Source organism: Homo sapiens, chromosome 7 (genome assembly GCF_000001405.40).
Source record: "Homo sapiens chromosome 7, GRCh38.p14 Primary Assembly".
In the NCBI taxonomy this organism is placed as follows: Eukaryota; Metazoa; Chordata; class Mammalia; order Primates; family Hominidae; genus Homo; species Homo sapiens.
In genome coordinates, this window is record NC_000007.14 from 34742591 (window position 1) to 34764874 (window position 22284).

The 22284-nt window shown below is 40.7% G+C and overlaps 1 protein-coding gene, 1 long non-coding RNA gene and 2 pseudogenes across 8 annotated transcripts in view; 2 read left to right on the forward strand and 2 right to left on the reverse strand.

The window, feature by feature from the left end:
- The window catches only part of NPSR1-AS1 (NPSR1 antisense RNA 1), a 487820-nt gene that overhangs the window by 396079 nt on the left and 69457 nt on the right, over positions 1-22284 (reverse strand). For 2 of the 3 annotated variants that reach the window (NR_033665.1, NR_033664.1), the window contains exon 1: positions 15484-15682. The exons of the other annotated variant lie outside the window; for it this stretch is intronic. This is a non-coding gene — a long non-coding RNA (NPSR1 antisense RNA 1). Of the gene's footprint in view, positions 1-15483; positions 15683-22284 lie in introns of those variants that run through there. 3 annotated transcript variants of the gene reach the window in all.
- NPSR1 (neuropeptide S receptor 1) overlaps positions 1-22284 on the forward strand; it is a 220115-nt gene that overhangs the window by 84373 nt on the left and 113458 nt on the right. The gene's annotated exons all lie outside the window — the stretch shown is intronic.
- NCAPD2P1 (non-SMC condensin I complex subunit D2 pseudogene 1) lies at positions 7463-9455 on the reverse strand (annotated as a pseudogene).
- Positions 10834-11129, forward strand: RN7SL132P (RNA, 7SL, cytoplasmic 132, pseudogene; annotated as a pseudogene).

Genomic DNA, 22284 nt, shown 5'->3' on the forward strand with positions numbered 1-22284 from the left:
TATGTCTTTGCTCTTGTGAATAGTACTGCAATGAACATTTGTATGCATGTGTCTTTATGGTAGAATGATTTATATTTCTCTGGGTATATATCCAGTAATGGAAATGCTGGGTCAAATGGTAGCCCTGCTTTCATCTCTTTGAATGGCAATACTGCATTCCACAATGGTTTACACTCCCACCAACAGTGTATAATTCTTCCCTTTTCTCTGCAACGTCACCAGCATCTGTTATTTTTTGACTTTTTAGTAATAGCCATTCTGATGGATGTGAGATGGTATTTCACTGTGATTTTGATTTGTATTTCTCTAATAATCAGTGATATTGAGCTTTATTTCATGTGCTTGTTGGCTGCATGTGTCTTCTTTTGAAAAGTGTCTGTTCATGTCTTTTGCCCACTTTTTAATGGGGTTGTTTTTCTCTTGTAAATTTGTTTAAGTTTCTTATAAGTGCTAGATATTAAAACTTTGTCAAATGAGAGTTTGAAATATTTTCTCCTATTCTGTAGGGTGTCTTTTTACTCTGTTGATAGTTTCTTTTGCGTGCAGAAACTCTTAAGTTTAATTAGATCCCACTTGTCAATTGTTGATTTTGTTGTGATTCCTTTTGGTGTCTTTATCATGAAATCTTTGTCCCTTCCTGTATCCACGATGGTATTACTTACGTTGTCTTCCGGGTTTTTACAGTTTTGGGTTTTACATTTAAATCTTTAATCCATCTTGAGTTTATTTTTGTATGTGGTGTAAGGAAGGGGTCCAGCTTCCATCTTCTGCCTATGGCTTGCCAGTTATCTCAGCACTATTTATTGAATCAGGAGTCTTTTCCCCATGACTTGTTTTCTCTCTCTCTCTGTCTTCTTTTTTTTTTTTGTAGATGGAGTCTCACTCTGTCACCCAGGCTGGCGTGCAGTGGCATGATCTTGGCGCACTGCAACCTCCGCCTCCTGGGTTCAAGCAATTCTCTGTCTCAGTCTCCCGAGTAGCTGGGATTACAGGCACCCACTACCACGCCTGGCTAATTTTTGTATTTTTAGTACAGACGGGGTTTAACCATCTTGGCCAGGCTGGTCTTGAACTCCTAACCTCGTATCAGCTTTGTTGAAGATTAGATCATGTGTTATTTTCATTACTATCTCATTATGATCAACAAATCTATAATTTTTATTATGATTTCTTTTTGGGCAACTGTTACTTAGAAGTGTGCTTTTTAATTTTCAAAAGTACCAGGCTTGTCTAGTTATATTTTTGTTATCATTTTCTAGCTTACTTTCCTGTATGTTTTAGTTTTTTTGAATCAGATGAAATGACATATGGTCTAATATATAATAATCTGATACTCTTCTATGTACCCTTGAATACATGTGTTCAGCCGATTTGAGAAGTATTAGTTTGTATGTTTACATTAGGTCAAGTTTGTTTGCTGTGTAGTTAAAATCTGCTCTATCCTTGCTGATTATTATTATGTATTCCATCTTTAAATAAATAAGAGAACTTGCTAAAATCTGAAGTTCTGGTGGTGGATTTATCTTTTTCTCCCATAGTTCTATTATTTTCTTACTTTATTTATTCTAATGGGCTTAGAATTGCTATATCTTCCTGGTGAATTTAACTAGTATTCAATATAGAGTATCTCTCTTTATCTCTAGTAATGCTTTTAGCATTAAAAAGATTTTTATCTTACATTGATATCACTACAGGATTTTTCTTAATTAATATTTGTCTGGTATACCATTTTATTGTTGTTTTAAAATTTTATGTTTTTATGTTCTAGGTGCTTCCTTTTTCTTCTTTTTTGAGAGCAAGTCTACATGTGCCTAACCTTGTGTCTGGTAGCAGTGGGCCTCAGGATAAAAGGGGCAGGAAGAGCAGAGGAAATGGGAAGGACCCCAATTTTGCTGGGTGACTTTCTGGCACCTAGCAGGGATTCAATAGATGTCCATTGAACTGTCAAAATGAATGCAGATGGCTGGACTTCCTTCTAGTGTTACCCTTGGACTCAGATGAAGTCTCCCCATTCCTTCTTCCTGTTTGAAACACTAGTTGTCCCATTGGGAATCCCTCATCCCCAAGGCCTTCTGCTCATGATGAATAATCAATCAGGTTTGTGATTCAAAACAACATCCATCATCTCTGTAAAACCAGTTCCCCATCCTAAAGCTATGACATTGTTTGACAAGGGTATGTATTATTTAAAACCAGGACTTTGTCATGTTTTCATTATCTGAGTACAGTTGGCCCTTTGTATCCATGGGTTCTGCATTTATGAATTCAACCAATTGTGAATTGAAAATATTCAGAAAAAAATGCATCTATACTGAACATGTTCACACTTTCTCCTTGTCATAATTTTCTAAACAATATAGTATAACAACAATTTATATAGAACTTACATTGTATTAGGAATTAAAAGTAATATAGAGATAATTTAAGCTTGGTTAATATATGCAAACACAGCATCATTTTATTTCAGGGATTTTGGTATCCATGGAAGGCTATCCATGGAAACCAATAACCCCATATATACAAAGGGACAACTATATTGGCATCCTTTACTGATTATAGAACATTCCTAGTCACTACCATAGTGCCTCTTTCACATTCTCTTTATTATCTTCTTCTGGAACTCCAGTGGGATTTTTGTTGGACTTTCTCATCCTATTCATTATGCCTCTTCACTTCTCTTTGGTCTATCTCTTTGTCTCTTTCTATTGCTTTTTGAGTAATTTATTTGGTCCAATCATCAAGTTTACTATTTCTCTTTTTATTGGTTCCAACCTTATAATCAACATATTCATTGAGATTCTAACTTTATTACAATTATTTTTTCATTTCTAAAAGTTCTACTTTGTTCTTAAATTTATCTAGTCAATTAGAGAATTCCTCTTTCATCAAACTTGCAATTTTCTGCTTAATTTCTTTCAATATATTATCTATTAATTTATTTATTTAGAGATAGAGTTTTGCTCTGTCACCAGGGCTGAAGTGCACTGGCATGATCACAGCTCACTGCAGACTTGAACTCCTAGGCTCAAGCCATCCTCCCATCTCAGCCTCCCAAGTAGCTGGAACTATAGGTGTGCACCACCAAGCCCAGCTAATTTTTTTTTCTGGAGATAGGGTCTCACTCTGTTGCCCAGGCTGGTCTTAAACTCCTGGTCACAAACAGTCCTCCTGCCTTGGTCTCCCAAATTGCTGGGATTACAGGTGTGAGCCACCATCTCCGGCCTATTTTTAAATATTATGTAATACTGTTTATCTGATATTCCCAATATATGCAATCTTTGCACATCTGATTTCTGTGTGTACACAGGTGTTCATGTTTATACATTTGAGTTTTCCAAAAGCCATAGTACACTCATGAGAAAATGAAAGTGAAAAGACAAATACAGTCTTAGTATTAATTATAAAAATAGTTTTTGCCTAATGGATTCAGAGTCTTAGTGACCCTCAGAGGTCCTCAGACTACACACTCAGAACCACTTCACTAAAGCATCCATCGATACAATCAGTTATTTCTTTCCTGTGCCTCCAAAATGTTTCTACCTCAATACCAACCTTGGAAAAATTGAGAAAATGAAAGCTCAAATTATTTTCCATGGAGCTTAATTTTCTCTGCAATTCTGATCAAAAAAGATTGTAAGCAATGAAAGAATCAAACTAGCTGTATTCAGTAGTCCTCCCTTATCCATAGTTTCACTTTCCATGGTTTCAGTTAATAGTGCAATAGAGTAAGATATTTTGAGAGAGAATGACCCCATATTCACATAACTTTTATTACAGCATATATTTATCATTATCATATGGTATCAGTATATTATTGTTGTTCATTTCTTTATGTGCCTGATTTATAAATTAAATTTTATCATAGTTATGTATGTATGTATAAAAGAAAACATGGTATATACAGAGTTCAGTACTATCTGCAGTTGGAACTCTTCAAACATATCCCTCACAGATAAGGGGAGACCTGCTGTAATATTTTTGCTTCTTAACCAAGTGTTCTCCCTCCACCCATCCCTGTCTTAGCATTTCTATCATTACATAATTCTCTATTTGGAAAACTGTATCATGAGGTTTTTACTGCCACAATGCAGGTTAATTAGGAAATGAGAAAAACAAAGTAGCCTATTTCTTGGTCTTGAGTTTCAAGTGATTTAGAAGGAAAAATGAAAACCAGGCTACCTGGATCCAAGAATGGGAAAGAGTGAGGAGTATGCAGGGAGGAGGAGACAAGAGCTTAAACATGGAGGCATTTCTGGCTGGGTGCGGTGACTCTTGCCTGTAATCCCAGCACTTTGGGAGGCCGAGGCAGGTGGATCACGAGGTCAAGAGATCGAGACCATTCTGGCCAACGTGGTGAAACCCCGTGTCTATTAAAAATACAAAAATTAGCTGTGCATGGTGGAACGCACCTGCAGTCCTAGCTACTCAGGAGACTGAGGCAGGGGAGTCACTTGAACCTGGGAGGTGGAGGTTGCAGTGAGCCGAGACTGCGCCACTGCACTCCAGCCTGGCGACAGAGCAAGACTCCACCAAAAAAACAAAAAAAAAAAAAAAAAAGAGGCATTTCTAAGAGAGAGACCTTAACCCTAAGGCAGACACTGAAGAGGATTTGGGGCATGAAATAGGAGCTGCAGGTTGGAGAACATCACAAGCAAGGGCATCTGTAACCCACCCTACCCACTTTCTCAAGAGACAGTCCAGAGAGCGAGTAAGGCACAGGGGCCCTCTTCTGCATATTGAAAGTGAGAAGAAATGCCTATGCGAGTGTCTAGGCAGAGAGCTTGAAACAGCCACTTGTGGGTCTCTGCACCTGCAGCCTGGTGCAGGGATCAGAAGAATGTACTTATTCTGTGCAACAAGAGCCATGCCTTTGTGACAAAGCCCGTGGCCCAAGAAGGCCCTGCATTTGGAACAAGGAGGCACCACTTTGATCTGCTGACAGCTAAGTGCAAGGTGGAATCAGAGATATCTTAATAGATGTCAATGATAACAGATGATACCAAGAACCAGGCATCTTAGACACACACACACATACACACACACACACACGTGCACGAGCACCCACGCACGCATGTGACTGGATACCGCATGAGTTTTCTAAAGCTTAAAGATGACTACAAGGACAAAGAGTAAACACTTAATTGACTGCAATTAAGTTTTTGATATCCAGCAGAGTAGGAGTTTTTACTAGCAATTAACTTCAGTTTTAGAACACGACAAATCTTATTTTTATTATACAACTACAAACAAATATATAATGAATGCTCAGATTCCAGGACCCTATACCTGGGGTGATGGGTGGGACGAGTTAAAGAAGGGATCTGGACACTGCTGCCTCTCTGCCTTCTTTATATGGGGACCGTATCACAAATGAGGCTCACTGTGCCTCCAGTCATGTTTACTGTGCAGCAAGGCTTTTGGCCAGAGAACATAATTGACATGCACAGAGCTGGAGCTCTTGCCAGCTCACAGCAAAAGGGCCTCTAATTCAGAGAAAAAGGAGTTGGACCTCTGCCAGTCATGTACCTGTTATGCTTTCATATAGGCATCAGTTAGACCCTGATCTCAGTCTGACAAACCAGAAAATATAAAACCATCAGGATCAAGGCATACTTTTTACTGGGAGTGTTAGCCTGGTAATGGAGAGGAATGTTATTGCTCTAAGCATTCGCATAATATCTATTGATCAAACCTCTGTGAAGCTGCTATTCTTCATGCCAGCGTCTGGCGGCAAGGGAGGACTATTTCAGGTCTCACCATCACAGCCACTTCACACTCAGGCCATGCCACAGTCACCAGCACAGCTTGGGATTGGGGCAGGAAGTCCCCAGGGTGACCAGACAGAAAGCAGCCTCAGGACGGGGCCAGAGCATGAGACTAGGGGTGGTGGCAGCTGGGTTTTATTTACTCTGGGCTGTGTGACCTTGGGCAAGCTGCCAGCCCATTCTGTTCCTCTCTGCATGCCATACAACCGGGAATTCCTACATTACTGAGTCACTCCTGGGCCAAGGTTTGATGTCCCTATTAAAATGCTGTTGAGAGAGTAAGTGGCTTCAGTCACTAGCCCTGGAGAATGAGTTCACCAGTTTGATTTGTTTACAACTGAGAACTCTTTCAGTTTGTGTGCGTGAGGTGCTGGGGGAGCAGGTGGAAGAGGCTTTGCTGGAGTGGGGGAAATATCCTGCCTGGGAGTGGGATTGGCGGAAGGGGGCATATTTGTCAATCACAATAGAATCCTAGACACTTATGTCTGGGAGGCATAGCATAGGCCATTGCATTCATCTTCCCCCCAGTACCTGAATCTGTGACCAATGGAACTGAGGATCTTTACTTAACAACCTCTAGTGATGGGATAATCACCTCCTTCTAAGGCAAGCTACTTGGAAACTCTAAGATATTACTGAGAAAAGACCCTGAGCCCAGCCTTGAATTAGTCCAAAGTCTAATGCTTCTCCCAGGTGACAGCCCTTGAAAGAGTGTGTGACAGGCGCCATGCCCCCTGAATGGTCTCTTCTCCCAAATAAATAATACCTGATTCTCCCTCTGCAATGTTCATGACCCAAACAAAGCTGAGCCTCTGTGTGGCCACTCTCAGTTTGATGTTGTACCCCAAACCTTCAACCTCAGTCTTAATGCCTGGGAATGGGGGAATGTGTGGAAAAAGGCATGAAACACAGTACACAGCAAAATGTCTTAACATTTCTCTTGATTCTCTAGCTCCTTATCCCTTTTCCTAAAAATCTCTTTCTAAATCTTTCAAGGATAAAGGGAAGGGGGTAGAAAGGGGAAGTGAGGAGAGGTAAAGGAAGATGTTCATTATTGGGAGCCTATAATGTTCCAAACACGTGGGACATTTAATCTTCACAAAGTAAGTATACCCACCCTAATTTTATAAGGTAGAAACTAAGACCCAAGATATCTAAGTAAGTTGCCCAAAGTCACAAAGCAATTACCTGGCAAACAATGGATTCAGATAATGACTATATCATAGGCCAAGCCCAATTACACTCAAAATAATTCACATCTTCCTAAGAGGCAAGCCCTGGGGGCCCAAGAGGGGGTTGTTGAGTAAGGGCAGAAAGTACAAGGGAGACAAGTTGCCAATCACAGCTTGGCCCTGATTATTGTAATAACTGACACAATTAAAGTTCAATTTCGTATCCTTAGAAGGTTTCCGTCATATTCCAAGGCTGATGAGAAATTTCCATTCTAAGAATGGGGATCTGTTGAATGTTTTAAATTCAGGCACTTAATTAAATCTTTTAAGATGACTCTTTCTGTGTTTGCCCTTAGTCTTTTATTTCTATCCAATATTGTTCCTGGACCAAATAGGGTCGGGCTGCTGTTTCTTGTAGCCCAATAATGAGATGCAGATGAACTGGGGAGGAAGAGAGTTTTTTTTTTAAGTATATAAAAACATTTATTCATTAGAAAACAAGGAGACTGGCAAACATATATTCCAAAGTGAAAGCAGCTCAATGCAGTTCAGTTAGGCTAATTTAAGAGAAAGGCCTTGCATTTTAAAGATCGTGTATGTATTTTTTTTTTTTTTCAAAAAAGGAGACAGGCAAATATTCTACAAGGGGAACAGAATTAGAATTCTAGGTCACCCTACAAGTTACCCTGCACAGGGAGGAAAGGAACAGGCAAGATGACTTCTCAGGATCTGTGCCTGCGAGCTGATGCTCTGAGAATGGGGGTTATTTTCTTGGGTGTCCTGTCTTCTGTCATCTAGGCTAAAAAATCTTCCTCACTTGACTCATCACTTGAGAAGACAACTTTTGGTTTCTTTTCGGAAGCTCGCTGCTGGGTGTTCGGATGCCGATGGGTAGTACGACGGGGCTCTGGTGTGACGAAGTCATTGTCTGAGGCTGCAGAAGCCAGAGGCTGGTGCCTACAAACAGTGGATGGTTTCTTGGCTGTTGGGGCTCTCTGGCTACCTGCTTGGTTAATCTCAAGCTCCTCAATCCCATCCAAACCTCTGGCATGACAGGCCTGAAGCTTTTGCTCAAATTCATCTATTATAGCCTTGCCCTCAGGCTTGGCCCCATGTTGTAGCTTGCCCATAACTGACAAAAAAGAACTGAAGATGGACTCATCTGACAGTTTATCTCCAAAACAGTCAAAATTGCCAAGCATCTTGCAAGGGCCTTGCTCTGTGAGGGGCAGCTGTGACACACAGTAGGCCAGGTCCTGCTGCACCTGCTCAGTTTAGGCTGTGTGGAACCGCTGACACAGCTTTTCCACCAGGCTTTGTCTGCTTGTCTTTGGTGATGATGTAGGAGAAGAACTGCTTCATAATGGTGTGAAAAGGCACTTCCTCCACCCCCAGCTCGGGGTCTGACAGGTGGCTGATGATATCTGGAAGGAGACTATAGATTGCATTGCCCTTGTGGAAGAGCTCATTGAAGAACTTCTTGGCCAGGGCAGCAATTTGAGACTCAGGGTTGATGAGCAGCATGGCCATCTCACTCACCTGCCCCTTTACCTTCACCATGTCCTTGAGGATCAGGTGGAGTCATCACCAGCCCCACTGTTTTCCACACTGGCTGAGCAGGGTCCTGAAGGTGAGCATATAGATGAGGAGTCCAGGGGTCCACCAGATTGGGAAAGTGGATGGCCAGATCCCCAGTGGCAACGATGAGATTAGACCGGACAATGGGAAGTGGAGACTTTTCTAGCATGGTGAACAGAAGATGAGGCTGGGAGTTGCAGAAAGTGGTACTGATCATGCAGAACTTGCCAAGGGTAGGTGAAGCAGCTGCAGAGAGGTCTGGGTTGCTATAGAGGCCTGAGTTGTTGTAGACTTTAAGCAAGAGTGGAACAAAGGCAGCCAGTGTCTGTTTGCCATCCAACAGTTCCATCTTGCAGAAGCCGCGGATTAGTTCTGCCTCCGTGTCATCTGCTGCCCCAACCAGCCCCAGCTCCTCCTCCATAGTGGTCTCGAAACTTGTATTCTTCTCCTTGGGATCTTTGGTCTTGTGCTCCTGTTCTTCCCGGAGAACTCGGCGCTGACAGAGCTCTCCACTCACTGCCTGCTCCAAGTGGACCAGCTGCTGCAGAGCCACATCCCCAGCCAGGGACAAGAGGTTCATCAACAGGAAAGTGGGGAGCATTGTGGGAGACTCCTTCGGGTCCCCCTGACTGGTTCTCTTCTCTTCTAGCTTCTCCAGGGCCTGTTTTGCACAGCCCTGCCATATCTGGGCACAGATCACTGTGGGACTCTCTGCCAGTTGGTAAATGAGGGTCACTGCCACCTCTTTGAATGGGATCCAGAGTGGGTCTGGTGGACAAAGCCTTTCGGGACCGTCTCCCGCAGTCACTCAAACAACTTGTGTTCCTGAGGCAACTGGAAGTGGGGGTGACGTTTGCCCAGAGAAGTCTTTCTACTGTCAGAGATGTTGGCGATGGCATGGCACACCTGCTGGGCCAGCCGGTAGTCCTGTGGAAACTTCGGAAGAGAGTTTTATTTTCTGCAACCGGTGACGGGGAGAAGGCCTGGAAATTATTGCCAGACCAACTTAAAATTACAAAGTTTTCCAGAGCTTATATACCTTCCAAACTATATGTCTACGTGTAAGGTATGCATTCATCTAAAGATGTAAATGGTTAACTTCTTTTAATCTATAACCAAGGTCTGAGTCCTAAATACCTTCCTCTGGAGCCTCAGTAAATTTACTTAATCTAAATGGGTCCAGGTGCTGGGGGGATTACCCTTATCTTGTCTCCTGCTAAATTACAGAGGTTTTGGGAGTTCCTTCAGACCTCCAATAAACTTGTTTGTGGAGGCCTAAGGAGTTTCCTTAGACCCCCAGTGAAACTTGTTTAATCCTAAATGGGTCCTGTTAAGAATTCCTTTGTTATTTTGTCATGCCTTAAGTCCCAGGAAAGGCCTAGGTAAAACTCTTGATGGGCTTTTGTTACATTCCAGCCTTCGTACAGGGGCACTGGCTTTTAATATTTAACTTAACCACTCAGTCAGTACTGAAAGAGTTGTCAGTGACACCTGGCCTGCCACAATTATGAGTGTCCAGAATTTTACTAGATGTTTGGGGGAAGGGGAATGAGAAGCCTGAATTAGGAATATTCTCCACGAGTCTCTCACAATCTAGTTGGAAAGACTAGTAAACTCAATGACATATTAAATGATAAGTAAATGACAACCTGTGGTCCTTACTTCATGCCTTTGCACACACTGCTCTCTCTACCTGGATGCCCTTCTCTCACCTGATCTCTCCAGCAAAGCACTACTCATTCCTCAAGACACAAAGCTGAACAGGCACTCTGTGAAGCCTGCCTAGTCCGCTTGCTTCCTTCCCAGAAGATTTTGCCAATCATCCCTCTTTTGGACAAATATCGTGCAACACTGTATTTTAATTATTTCCCAACTCCCTGAAACACTAGAATGTGAGCAATTTGAAGATAGGAATGGAGTTTCCTTCCTTGCATTCTCAGCACATAGCATTGTGTCTGAAACCAAATAGTCAGCAATCAATAGTAATTGATGAGTGTTTAAAGAAGCACTACAGGAAGTGGCAAAAATCAGGGTCCTCCAGGGCAACACGATGGGGACTTCACAGAGTGGGTGGAGCTTGTATTGGGCCTTAGAGGATGACTAACATTTGGAGATGCTGATGCTGCCAAAAGTAGAAAGATCAGGAGGAATAAAAGCCCAGAAATACGAGACTGTCTTCCCCAGTGTTTTATGGTGGTCCTAGATTCAAATATCCCATCATGTCACAACTTTGAAATGAGGAAAATACTTTCACCAAGAAGTTGAATGCTATTCTGAATTACAAACCCAGGTGAGTGCTCATCAAGAACAGAAGACCAGCCAGGTGTGGTGGTGCACGCCTGTAGTCCCAGCTATTCAGGAGGCTGAGGTGGGAGTATCACTTGAGCCCAGGAGCTCATAGTGCGCTATGTGGATCGGATGTTTGTACTAAGTTTGGCATCAGTATGGTTACCCCTATCCCAGGAGCAGGTGACCACTAGATTGCCTAAGGAAGCATGAACCAGCCCAAGTTGGAAACAGAGCAAGTCAAAATTCCCATGCTGATCAGCAGTGGGATTATGCCAGTGAACAGCCACTGCACTACAATGTGAGCAACATAAAGAGACGCCCCTGTCCAAAAAAACAAAGAAGGAAACCTGCAATCCGAGCACTTTGGGAGGCTGGGGAAGGAGGATTGCTTGAAGCCAGGAGTCCAAGACCAGCCAGGGCAACATGGCGAGACCCTGTCTCTACAAAAATAAAAATAAGTTAAACATAAATAAAAAATTCTAAATGAATTTTAAAAAGAAAGAAAAAATAATAGAAGGCTTTGGGGATCAGGGCAGCCCAAAGGGATTCCTGGAGTTTCAAACACAAAATAGACATGAGAGACTTAATCTGGATGTCAGACCAGCACTAGAAGAAAACCTGGACATTTTGAAGCCCTTAAATTCATAAAACTTTGACAGTTTCATGAACATTTGTTGAAACCTTGCCATGTCCAAGAAGGTCACCTAGGATCAGAACTTCCACCCATCTCCTCTTCTCCCCCTGTCCTTTTCTGAGGTCTACACCCCCTTTGTAGTAGGTGGTCAACTGGACACAGGACTAGGTTTATCAAAACTTGCTCTCGGGAAATAAAAATAAGACAAGAAATACAATATACACAAGAACACATGTTCTTGTACCTCAGTCTCTGAATAGCCTGTCTCTAGACTCTGTTTGATGTAAGAGTGGTTGCTTCTGAAAAAAGAACTGAGTGACTAACAATGGTTGGAGAAGGGTGCCTTTCTTAATTTTAGTTTTTATTATTTTTATTGAAGTATGAAGTTCAATCCGGTGCACGCAAGTATCAGCTGATGAATTTTCACAAACAGAAGATACCAGTGTAACTAGCACCCAAATCAAGAAATGTTACCATCTGCCTCTATGCCCCCTCCTACCAATTCCCAGTACCACCTCTTCCCCCCACCAAGAGTAAGCCCTGAGGCCCAGACAGGCTTCACCTAATTTTATATTTTATTTTTTCTTTTTATGAACAGCTTTATTAAAATATTCACATAACAATACAGTTCACCCATTAAAAGTATAAAACTGAGTGGCTTTTAATATATTCACAGATATGTATAACCATCACCAAAGTCAATTTTAAAATATTTTCATCACCTCAAAAAGAAGGCAAATACCTTTTAGCTATAACTCCCACCTCACATCCTCCGTAACCCTAGCCAACTGCCAATCTACTTCCTATGTCTATGAAATTGCCAGTTCTCCACATTTCATATAAATGGAATCATGTAATATATTATCTTTTGTGACTGGTTTATTTCACTTAACACTTTCAAGGTTCATTTTTGTTGTAGCACGTATCCATATTTCATTTTTTATGGCTAAATAATATTCTATCATATGGATATAGCACATTTTGTTTATCCGTTCATCAGTTGATGATTATTTCAGTGGTTTTTACCTTTTGGCTCTTAGGAATAAAATGCTGCTATAAACATTCATGTACAACTTTCTGTGTGGACAGTTTTTTCTCTTGGGTATGTAACTAGAAGCAGAATTGCTGGGTCATATGGTAACACTGTGGTTAGCATTCTAAGCAACTACAGTTTTATATTCCCACCAGCAGTGTACAAAGGTTTCAATTCCTCCTCATCCTCACCAACATTTGTTGTTTGGGGATTGTTCATTACAAATACATGAAACAGTGGTTACCAGAGTCAGTCAGGGTGGGAGGGAGGAATGCAGAGATTTAGGTCAAGGATACAAAGTAGCAAATACGTAGAATGATTTAATTCTTTACATAAATAGAACCTTACAGTATGTGTGCTTTTGTTTCTGACTTCTTTTGCTCAGCATTAGATTCAGGAGATTCATCAACATTGCTGCGTATAGTTGCAGACAGTTTACTATCCTTATTGAATGGTGTTCTACTGTGTGAACATACTACAGTTGCTTTTTTCATTCCACTAGTGGTGGGCATTTGGGTCATTTCCAGTTTAGGGCTACTATGAATACTGCTGCCTTGAACAGTCCAGGATACATCATTTTGTGAGCTGCTTATTTTTATTATTTGTGCTACCTGAATTTTGTATTATGTGCAGGTATTACTTTTTTTAAATGTCCTAAAAACACCTTTAAGGGCTTTTAAACTAGGATCAGAAACTTAGCTCCTTCCCTACTGACAAGCAGGCAGAAAAAAAAAATAATAGTAATAGCTAGTATTTACTGAATGCTCATTGAGCCACCTCTTTAGGGAAAAAAATCTTTTCATATATGTTTGCTTTTAATCCTCCAAATTACTCAAAGCCATAGGTATTCTCATTATGCCCATGTTAGACCTGCAGAAACTGAGACCGAAGGAGGTTAAATAACTTGTGCAAAACCATACAACTAGCAAGTAGGGAATCACAGTACAAATACAGGTCTCTGAATATAAAGCCTGTGCATTCACCCTCCAATTACACAGCCTCTGATTACACTCAGCTGGGAGTTCAGGGAGCCTGCTAGACATGGGGAGGAGAAGCTGAAATGAGAGCACCTGAAACTGCCAGCTCAGTCCAGCTCAACAGCTCGGATTGTTCTCCCCACCGCCCCCCTACTTCCTGTCCTAATTAATCAAATGCTCTTGAACATGAAAGAGAGTGAGATTGGATTTTTGTTAAGATGAAAGAAAGGAATCTGTTCCCATCTGGCACCTTCAAAACTCTCCTATTCAAGCCAGCAGGGAGCATTTATGCAACCTACATGGCAGTTTAATAATTCCCCAAGAATGCCAGGAGATTAAGCAATGTCACAACCGATCTGGATCCACCGGCACTTGAGAATAATGGAAAGAGCAGGGGTCTAAGGTCTAGGACAGGGGTCAACCAAATTTCTCTGTAAAGGCCCAGATATTAAATATTTTAGGCTTTGCAGGTCCTATGATCTCTGTGTCAACTACCCAACTCTGGCATTGTAACATGAAAGCAGCCATGAGCAAACAGGCATGGCTGTGTAACTAAAACTTCTTTTATGGCACAGATATTTGAATTTCATATAATTTTCATGTGCCTGGGCATATATTTCTTTTTTAAAAAATATTTTCTAACCAGTAAAATATGTAAAAGTTATTCTTAGTTTGAAAGCTGCACAAAAATGGAGGACAAAGTCTAGCGACCTGAATTCAAATCCTCTCTCTGCCATTTGTTATTTCTGTGGCTTTCGACATATTACTTACATTCACTAAGCTTCATTTCTCTCTTGAGAAAATGAGCAGAGCAGGTGCCATGCATTCAGGGCCTCCCTTGTGGCTGGCACTGAGCCACATGCTTTATATGCTTTACTGAATTAAATCCTACAATAACCACAAAAGGCTGAAATTATATGATTGCCTTCTTCAGATAGTTACGATGATTAAGAAATTATGTCTATAATTGTGCCTGAGCTGGCCTCCATAGTTCATTGAGTTTGATGCTTCCTGTTGTACGCAAAAATTGCCATGTTGGTTCGATGAGAGCATGCCTGCTTTTTCTACTACCTGTGGTGTTTTGAGTACCTATATTTGTATTGCACTTACAGTGAAAATTATCTAATTATATTATTCTATTTAATTACAATTGCATCAAGCTCCAATAAACAATCCAAATTTCACTGAACTGAAAGTTGAGTGCACACTTTGAATAGTCACTCCTTCTGTTAGGTTGGTGCAAAAGTAATTGCCATTACTTTTAGTAGCAAAAACAGCAATTACTTTCGCACCAACCTAATATATATGTGCACAGTAGGCAGTTTGGCTCAGGTACACTTATTCAAAACATTGCATTAAGTAAGATAATACATGTTAAATACCTAGCACACAGCCTGGGATGCAGGTGTCGGCCAGTGTTTGTTCCCCACTTCCTTAGTGACAAAGATTAGGCTTAGCTACTTTTTGGGAAAGGTGAGTGCCACCAGAAAGATGAGGCCAAGGCCTTATCAGACACACTGGAACACAGCCTTCCCAAGGAATAAATCCAGAATATTTTGTGTATGAGTTCTGGCTCTGAAGCCCAGCCTGTTCTTACACTGACCCCCCAGTTTCTGCCTTGATCAGCCACCCACTAGGCTGGGCATTGCTTCCTCTCACTCTGCTATCTAGTGACCCAACCTCGGCCCAACCCTCCAGCTTTCTTCTGGCCATGCGACTGTTCTGCTAGTCTGCTCCGCATATCTGCTCCTACCTTCCGATGCCTCCTCTGAGCTTTGGCTCCACTCCCCACTCAGCACAAACAACTTACTTTGCCCCAGTATGGGGTACAACAGCTCAGACTCTTCTAGAGGTCTAATCCTGGACACCTCGTTTGCTTTATAAGCACAATCTGGAAAGAAGAGTTTCATTGCTCAGAGCCCCTCAGGAAGCAGAAGAGGAGAGTGGTGAAGAGAGCATTCATCCTCTGGAATGACCATAACTGGTGTTTCAATCCCAGCTCCCCTCCATACTAATACTTGGGTGAGTTACTCACCAGGTCTATGCTTCAGTTTCTTCATCTGTAAAATGGAGGTTGTAAAAATATCATCTACCCCATAGGGTTATGGTGATGATTAAATTAGTTCTTCTATAGAAAGTGCCTGCAGCAGTGGTTAGCATGTGGTAGGCACTTTGTATGTGTTATCTGTTATGTCTGTTTGCTCTTACTAACATCTATATTTCTGAGTCCTAGACCTCCCCAGAGAGTGTGAAGTTCATGGTGTTTCATGGGAACAGATGTAAGCCCACTTGCTGAATCTCTCTCTGAGCTAATAATTAACAAATACATTGCACAGTAGCTTACCAGGAAAGCCTATACTGGTCTGAACAAGAAGAAACTTGCTGAACAATTCTAAAGCTCACTTCTCAATATAACAGCAGCCCTTGCTCAACATGTTGCCCATATCTTCAGTACCGTGCAGAGGTCACAGCCATCATATTCTGCCAGCTCTTCCCCTATGGGTTGAGCAACCATATGTGTCTTCCCAACCAGGACATTTTTCATTTTTAGCTTCTTGTTTTGACATAATTTCAGGTTTACAGAAAATCTTCAAGAGTAGTACAAATACCCCCATGTACCCTGTACACATATTCCTGAAATGTTAATATTTTTCATATTTGCTTTATCATTTCCTCTATCAGTCTATCTATAATACCTACCTATCTACCTATCCATCCATCTAAAAATGTCCCAGGTAATCAGCAAACCTGCTTTAAATGTCACCAATTATCCCAAGAACATCCTTTTTAGCACAAAAAACCCCGAATCATGTATTGTATTCAGTTGCCATGTACGTTTAGTGTTCTTTAACTTAGAACAGTTCCTTGGTCTTTCTTTGTATCTTATGACATCAACATTTTTAAATAGCATAGGTTAGATATTTTGTGGAGTTTCTCTCACTTTGGGTTTGTGTGATGTTTCCTTCTGAATAGATTAAGGTTATGTGCTTTTGAGAGTTATACACCAGGAATGATGCTATGTTCCTCTTAGTATATAGTATCAGCAGACACAGTATATCAATTTGTCCCATTACTAGTGATGTTATTGTCAGATTTCTCCACTGTAAAGATACTATTTTTCCTTTTGCAACTGACAAGTATTTTAAGAGTACATAGCCATCCTGATACTCCTTAAACTTTCACTCACAGCACTTACCATACAGTGTAGATTCCTGTCTGAATCAATGCTATAAAGGTTTCCAAATGATGATTTTCTAATTTCATTATTTCTTCTATACTTATTAGCAGTCTCTCTACTTTAAGGAAGAAATTTCCCTTCTCTCCCATTTTTAAATTTACATCATAGGTTCTTCTTTTATTCTGTGGGTTATAATTTGTTGCCATAGTTATTTCTTTTTATGCCTAGATTGCTGACTGGGGTCAGCAAGAGCCCTACAATTTGGTGCGTGTTTCTGTTGACATGTTTCTCAGCATTTTTGGGCATGTCCTCACTTGCCAGCACAACATGATGTTCCAGGCTTATCTTGTCCTTTTCCCAGCCCCAGGCCAGGAATCAGCCATCTCCAATGAGCCAAGTAAAACCATGGCATATTTAAGAGAAAGGGCCACAGGCATAATCATGGCGGGTATAAACTGAAACTGACCTAGAAATGCTGGGTCATATTCCCAATCTACCACTAGATGTCCTTCCACACCTCAATAGTTCTTCACAGGAAGCAGTCCTGGGGCATTTGGAAATGGTGGGATATTTGGAGTTATCACAAAGACTGGGGCAGCAGGGGTTACTTCTGGCATTTAGTAAGCACAGCCCAGGCATGCCAAATTTCCTGCACAGGACCATCTATCCTAACACAGAATTGCCCCATAAGTAGCAATCCTGTTAATAAATAGTGGCCCAATCCCTGAACTAATCTATCTTGTGTTCTAGTCTCTCAAGGATTGGCTTAGTTCTTTTCACCTTATCCGCCATCAGTTAATTTAATCACCACTGTTTCCATAGTGAGAATCTAATATATTAGACTGATCAAGTGTGTTAATCAAATATATTGGATTAGCTGGCATGCATTATAGCAAATAAAATAGCCAGTCTTCATTTTAGATCTAGTTTAAAGAAAGCCTCTACTTCTTATGTGTCAATTTTTGCAGAAAACATTATTCTAGCAAGTTGGCAAGGAGTCTAGGACTTATGTTAAGACACACCATCTCATCCCCAGTTCTTGCAGCTCTCTGTCTAGTTATTGGCCCTATTCATTGCATCAGCACCAACAACAGCTACCCAGGTTTTATAGGGCAAGCATTTTACTAAACATTTTACATAAACTATCTCATTTAACCTTCACAGTAGCCCTATAAATCAGGCATTCTTATTACAATTTTACAAAGAGCCCTGGATTCCGTGTGGTCAGTAGCAAGCCCAAGATAGCACAGCTGTCATGTAGCAGAGCCAACATTCAAAATCCCACAGTCGGGCTCCAGTAGCCATGCTGTGTACTGCCCATGCATGTAAGAACATACCCAACACAATGAAAAATAAGAAATGAAATAGAAAGGGCATGGAAAATATCAAATCATAACTGCAGAGGAAAAAAGTCAAATTTAAGCTTAGAGTTACTGCAAAGTTACTGCAACCCATCATATTTTATTTTGTGCTTCCTAGTTAGTGGCTAAAACTAAGGGCAAAACTGACTAAATATAATTTGTTGTAATCTTGAGGGAAATGCACAGCAAGATGTTTCTTGATCAAGAAAACTGATACTACGGAGCTTTATATTCAGTACTTTGATGAAACAGCACTAAAATGTCCTCAATAACATCTCTACAAAGAATCAGTGATTCTTAGACCTCTAAGAGGAGCCAGTGTGATGCCTAAACATAGGCATGTAGGCTACTTGACAGACAGACTCAGCATAGCAGTCATCATCACGTAGTAATTTCTAGCATCCTAGTAGCTTTCTCACTGGCTTTAGTTTTGAATAAATGGGATTTTTGCTAAGATCTTACATTATGCAACAGAGGCAACCACAAAGACCACCCCTAGAAAATGAAATGATCTTGGGCCCCTTCCTCCCTTACCTCCTGCTTCACACTGCATTCTTTGGGAAGCGGATGCTGAAACAGAGTCAGGTATACAAAAATCTGGGGAGAAGTCACTCCTGTGAAAGCAAAGGGAAGAAGTAAGATTGGGCTGGAGGACCCATCAGAGCCTGACATTAACCTGACAGTCTCTGGCAGCTCAGGAATCCTTTAGGATTTCCATGTTGGGTATAAATGATTAGACTCTTCTACTATAACTTAGTCATTGGTAGAGGTTGTACCAAGAATAGCATGATCCCAGCTAAAAAGCTGAGGCAAACCCTGAGGAATCTAACAGCTGGAGGATGTCAGCAAACCATATACCTCACAGCTGGACAGCAAGGTCTTTCTTGAAGGGGGATCTGAGCAGCATATCTCTATGTCTGCCTCATTTCCCTATGTACAAGCGTGTACCTGATTGCAGCAGAATGAGATGAGAAACAAATATTTTTTTGTTACAATTTACCACTTCCATCTCAGCCTGCTACCCCTTAGCTCTCCTTGGGCAAAGGGAAAAAGACATTTGAAGAGCCTGCCTCTTGGATAAGTGAAAATGGAACTCTCCTCTCCTTCTCTTGGATTTCTAAACATCCCAGATCATTTCTGTGAATTCTTTTTATTAGGAAAATAGCATCCTTTAAAAGAGAAAACAAGTTGTCTATGTCTTATATTCAGAGTCAGTTTGAGCCCCATGTTGTGCAATGATCTTGTGCAATGATAATTACATGCTACCATGCCTCAAGAAATTTCCCCTTAAGTGGAGTGAGGAGGAGAAATAGTGGAGGCTCAATGTCTTGTTTTAAGAAAACACCTGTTATTGCTGAACCTGATGCTTGTGCTTATGAGCACAGGAGTTTTTTGTGGCCCAGCAATAACCAACAACTCAGGTAGGCCAGTTGCCTCATTTAATGAGCTTCTTGGTTTCTGAATACAACAGAGGCAAAGAGAGTAAGTTTTACGAGGACTTGGGTTTCCTTAATTAGACACAAGCTTTTTATTTGGTTGGGGGAACTAATGGAGAAAGGGAGACACTAGCGGCATTTGTAACTTGTTAAGACTAATTGAAAATCTTAGGACCAAAGCTTTCTGTGAAGAGAGTGCTCTAATGAGAATAAATGTGATGATTATTTACCTAATTGAGCAGTAATGACTGAGGTGTGAGCCACTTCCCCAGGATTAATAAAGAGCCGGGGAGTTGACAGTTTAGACCATTAGGCTTAGCTGGTACTTCATCTTGGCGAAGGACACAGTGCCAGAATCATATTAATATTGTAAAATGAGCCCAAAACATAGACATATACTTTTGGAGAAATAATTTTAATTGGCTAAGTACCTGACATCAGGTTGGGCCATTCAGTTTTATCATTAAACAAAGTTTCACACAAGTTCTTCAAGACTTGTGCCATTTACAGTGTTCTCAGCATTCAGTGTTTAAAAAAGAAAAGTAGAAGAGGGACCTTTATCAATATCAAAAATAGTTTTTTGTGCAACCAAAAGCAAGCAAGCTATTATTATATATACACACTCGCTTTAAAAACAACACTAAAGACATTGAGTTGAGCTGGAAGCATTGCATACTCTGAGATACACAGTTGATATTGTTACCCACAGTGTCCCTTCAGGAAAGCCAGAGGTCATCTGCAACACCACAATTAAGGATAAAAGGACCTTATATTATCAGAAATTTCAATGTCTTCATAAAAATTGTGTTTATATTCAATATCTCCCTTATTTAGTGTGACAAATGTTCATGTACGAGTCATCTCAAGAAAAAGAGTTACTCAGCTTGCTACGTATTCATTATTCTATGGCTCTGCTATGCAGGGGAAAGTGCAAACAGCAACTGAGAGAAAGCAGGAATCTAAGACATGGGACTCAACTTGCCCTTTACACAGGGTGAATCCTACACTAGTGACCTTTGTGTTTTAAGGAAGTTTGCAAATATGTTTAATTGGACAACATTTCTTCCTTTATCTAGCAAGCACTGAGTATCTTGCCAGGCACTATGAAAAAAGATAAAACTATAAACATGAGCAAGGCACAGCCACTGCCAATCAGAAGCTTACAATCTAGCAGAGATCTTAAAATGCAGGGAGCTCTTTTAGAAATCTGCTTAGGGATCAAAATTTCCAATCACACTTTTCCTTCCAGCATCTTTATTCTGTAATCATTATTTTAATCTTCATTGAACGAGATGATTAATGTGGTTCCATCTGCTGTATGAAATCACCCATGCTACAGTCAGCCAATCAAGCAACAGCAGTAATAATGTACTACTTCATTTAATGGAAATTTACCAAGCTGTTACTATGTAATATCACAGTTTTAGGGCCTGGAGAGGTAGAGCTGAACTAAAAATAATAATCTCTGTTATCCCATAGTATAGTGGAATAGGAAAGAAATACAAAAAAAAATAATGTGTTCATGTATTATAGGTACTATAATAGTAGGGTAGGAAGATACACAGAAGTGGGAATAACCAAGCCAATCTCAGTACTCAGAAAAGGTGTTATAAAGGAGGTAACCTTGAATTAAACCTTGAGGAAATGGATATTCTTCAGGTAGAGGTGTATAAAGAGCTTCCCACACCAATGGAGCAGCATAAAGAAATGGCATGGCAGAGTGAACAGTTGGGTATGGCCAAGGAAACTCTCAACTGCATCTTCTTCACTGCCTCAACTGATCACTCAACGCTCTCCATTCTCTCAGCAAACACCCTGACTAACTAAACTCCCATGACTAGCAGGATATTATTAGACTTAACAAACCTGTCAATTTATATGCTTTCCCTTTAGAAAGACTTGACTTTTTTTTAGTGAACTGCAATAGAACTAAGCTCAGGAGATGCAACTATGAAAGATGAAGGAACATTATAAAAATCTCTGCAATGAGATTCTGCCTTAGATTGCTTTGCTGGTATGTCAACTGATTACTCCAATTTAAAGAAACCCAAACTGGAAATTATAAAAGATAAATTGTGAGTGTATTTTATGCAAAAAAGAATCAAATCAAATCAAAGTCTTGGCTCTACATTAAACAAACGACAAAGGCATGTTTGTTTTTATCAAAATGTTTTAGGGTAGATTTGTATGTATGCGTTATTTCTTTAACCAATGTTTTAATCAGTTAAACAGCTGCTATTATTAATGTGCTGGTTGAAAGTGTTTTTCTTAAAGTACAAATTTAAAATAGAATGAGAAAAGATCAGACTTGAGAAGAAGGAAAGTCACAGTAGGACATTTGGAATTTATTCTCTAGACCAGAGGTCTGCAAACTCCAGCCTACAGGCCAAATCCATCCTGCAGCTTATTTTTATAAATAAAGTTTTATTGGATTACAGCCAGGCCCATCCAGTTACAGAATTGTCTATGGTTGCTTCCACTCTACAATGGCAGATTTGAGTAGCTGTTACAGAGACTATACGCAAGTGTGCAGGAGAGTTTAGACCACACCTACAGGAAAGGTATGAAATACTACCCTCCTTCCTAGACACTTCCCCAAACAAAAAACTTAAGTCAGTGTGGGAACAAACACTGTTGCCCCACAGAGCACTAATAAAGGCAGATAAATGACTGAGAAAACCCTATCCCTTGGGGACGGAGGCCAGAAATGGCAACACCAATACCATTGGAAGTCTCCTACTTCTAGGTAAGGACATGAAATTCTCTCATATGCAACACCCATCACAGATACAAGGCAGGAGTTTGATTTTCATGGGGAGGAGGAATTGGAACACTGAGAATACCCCACCCCTAAGGCCCAG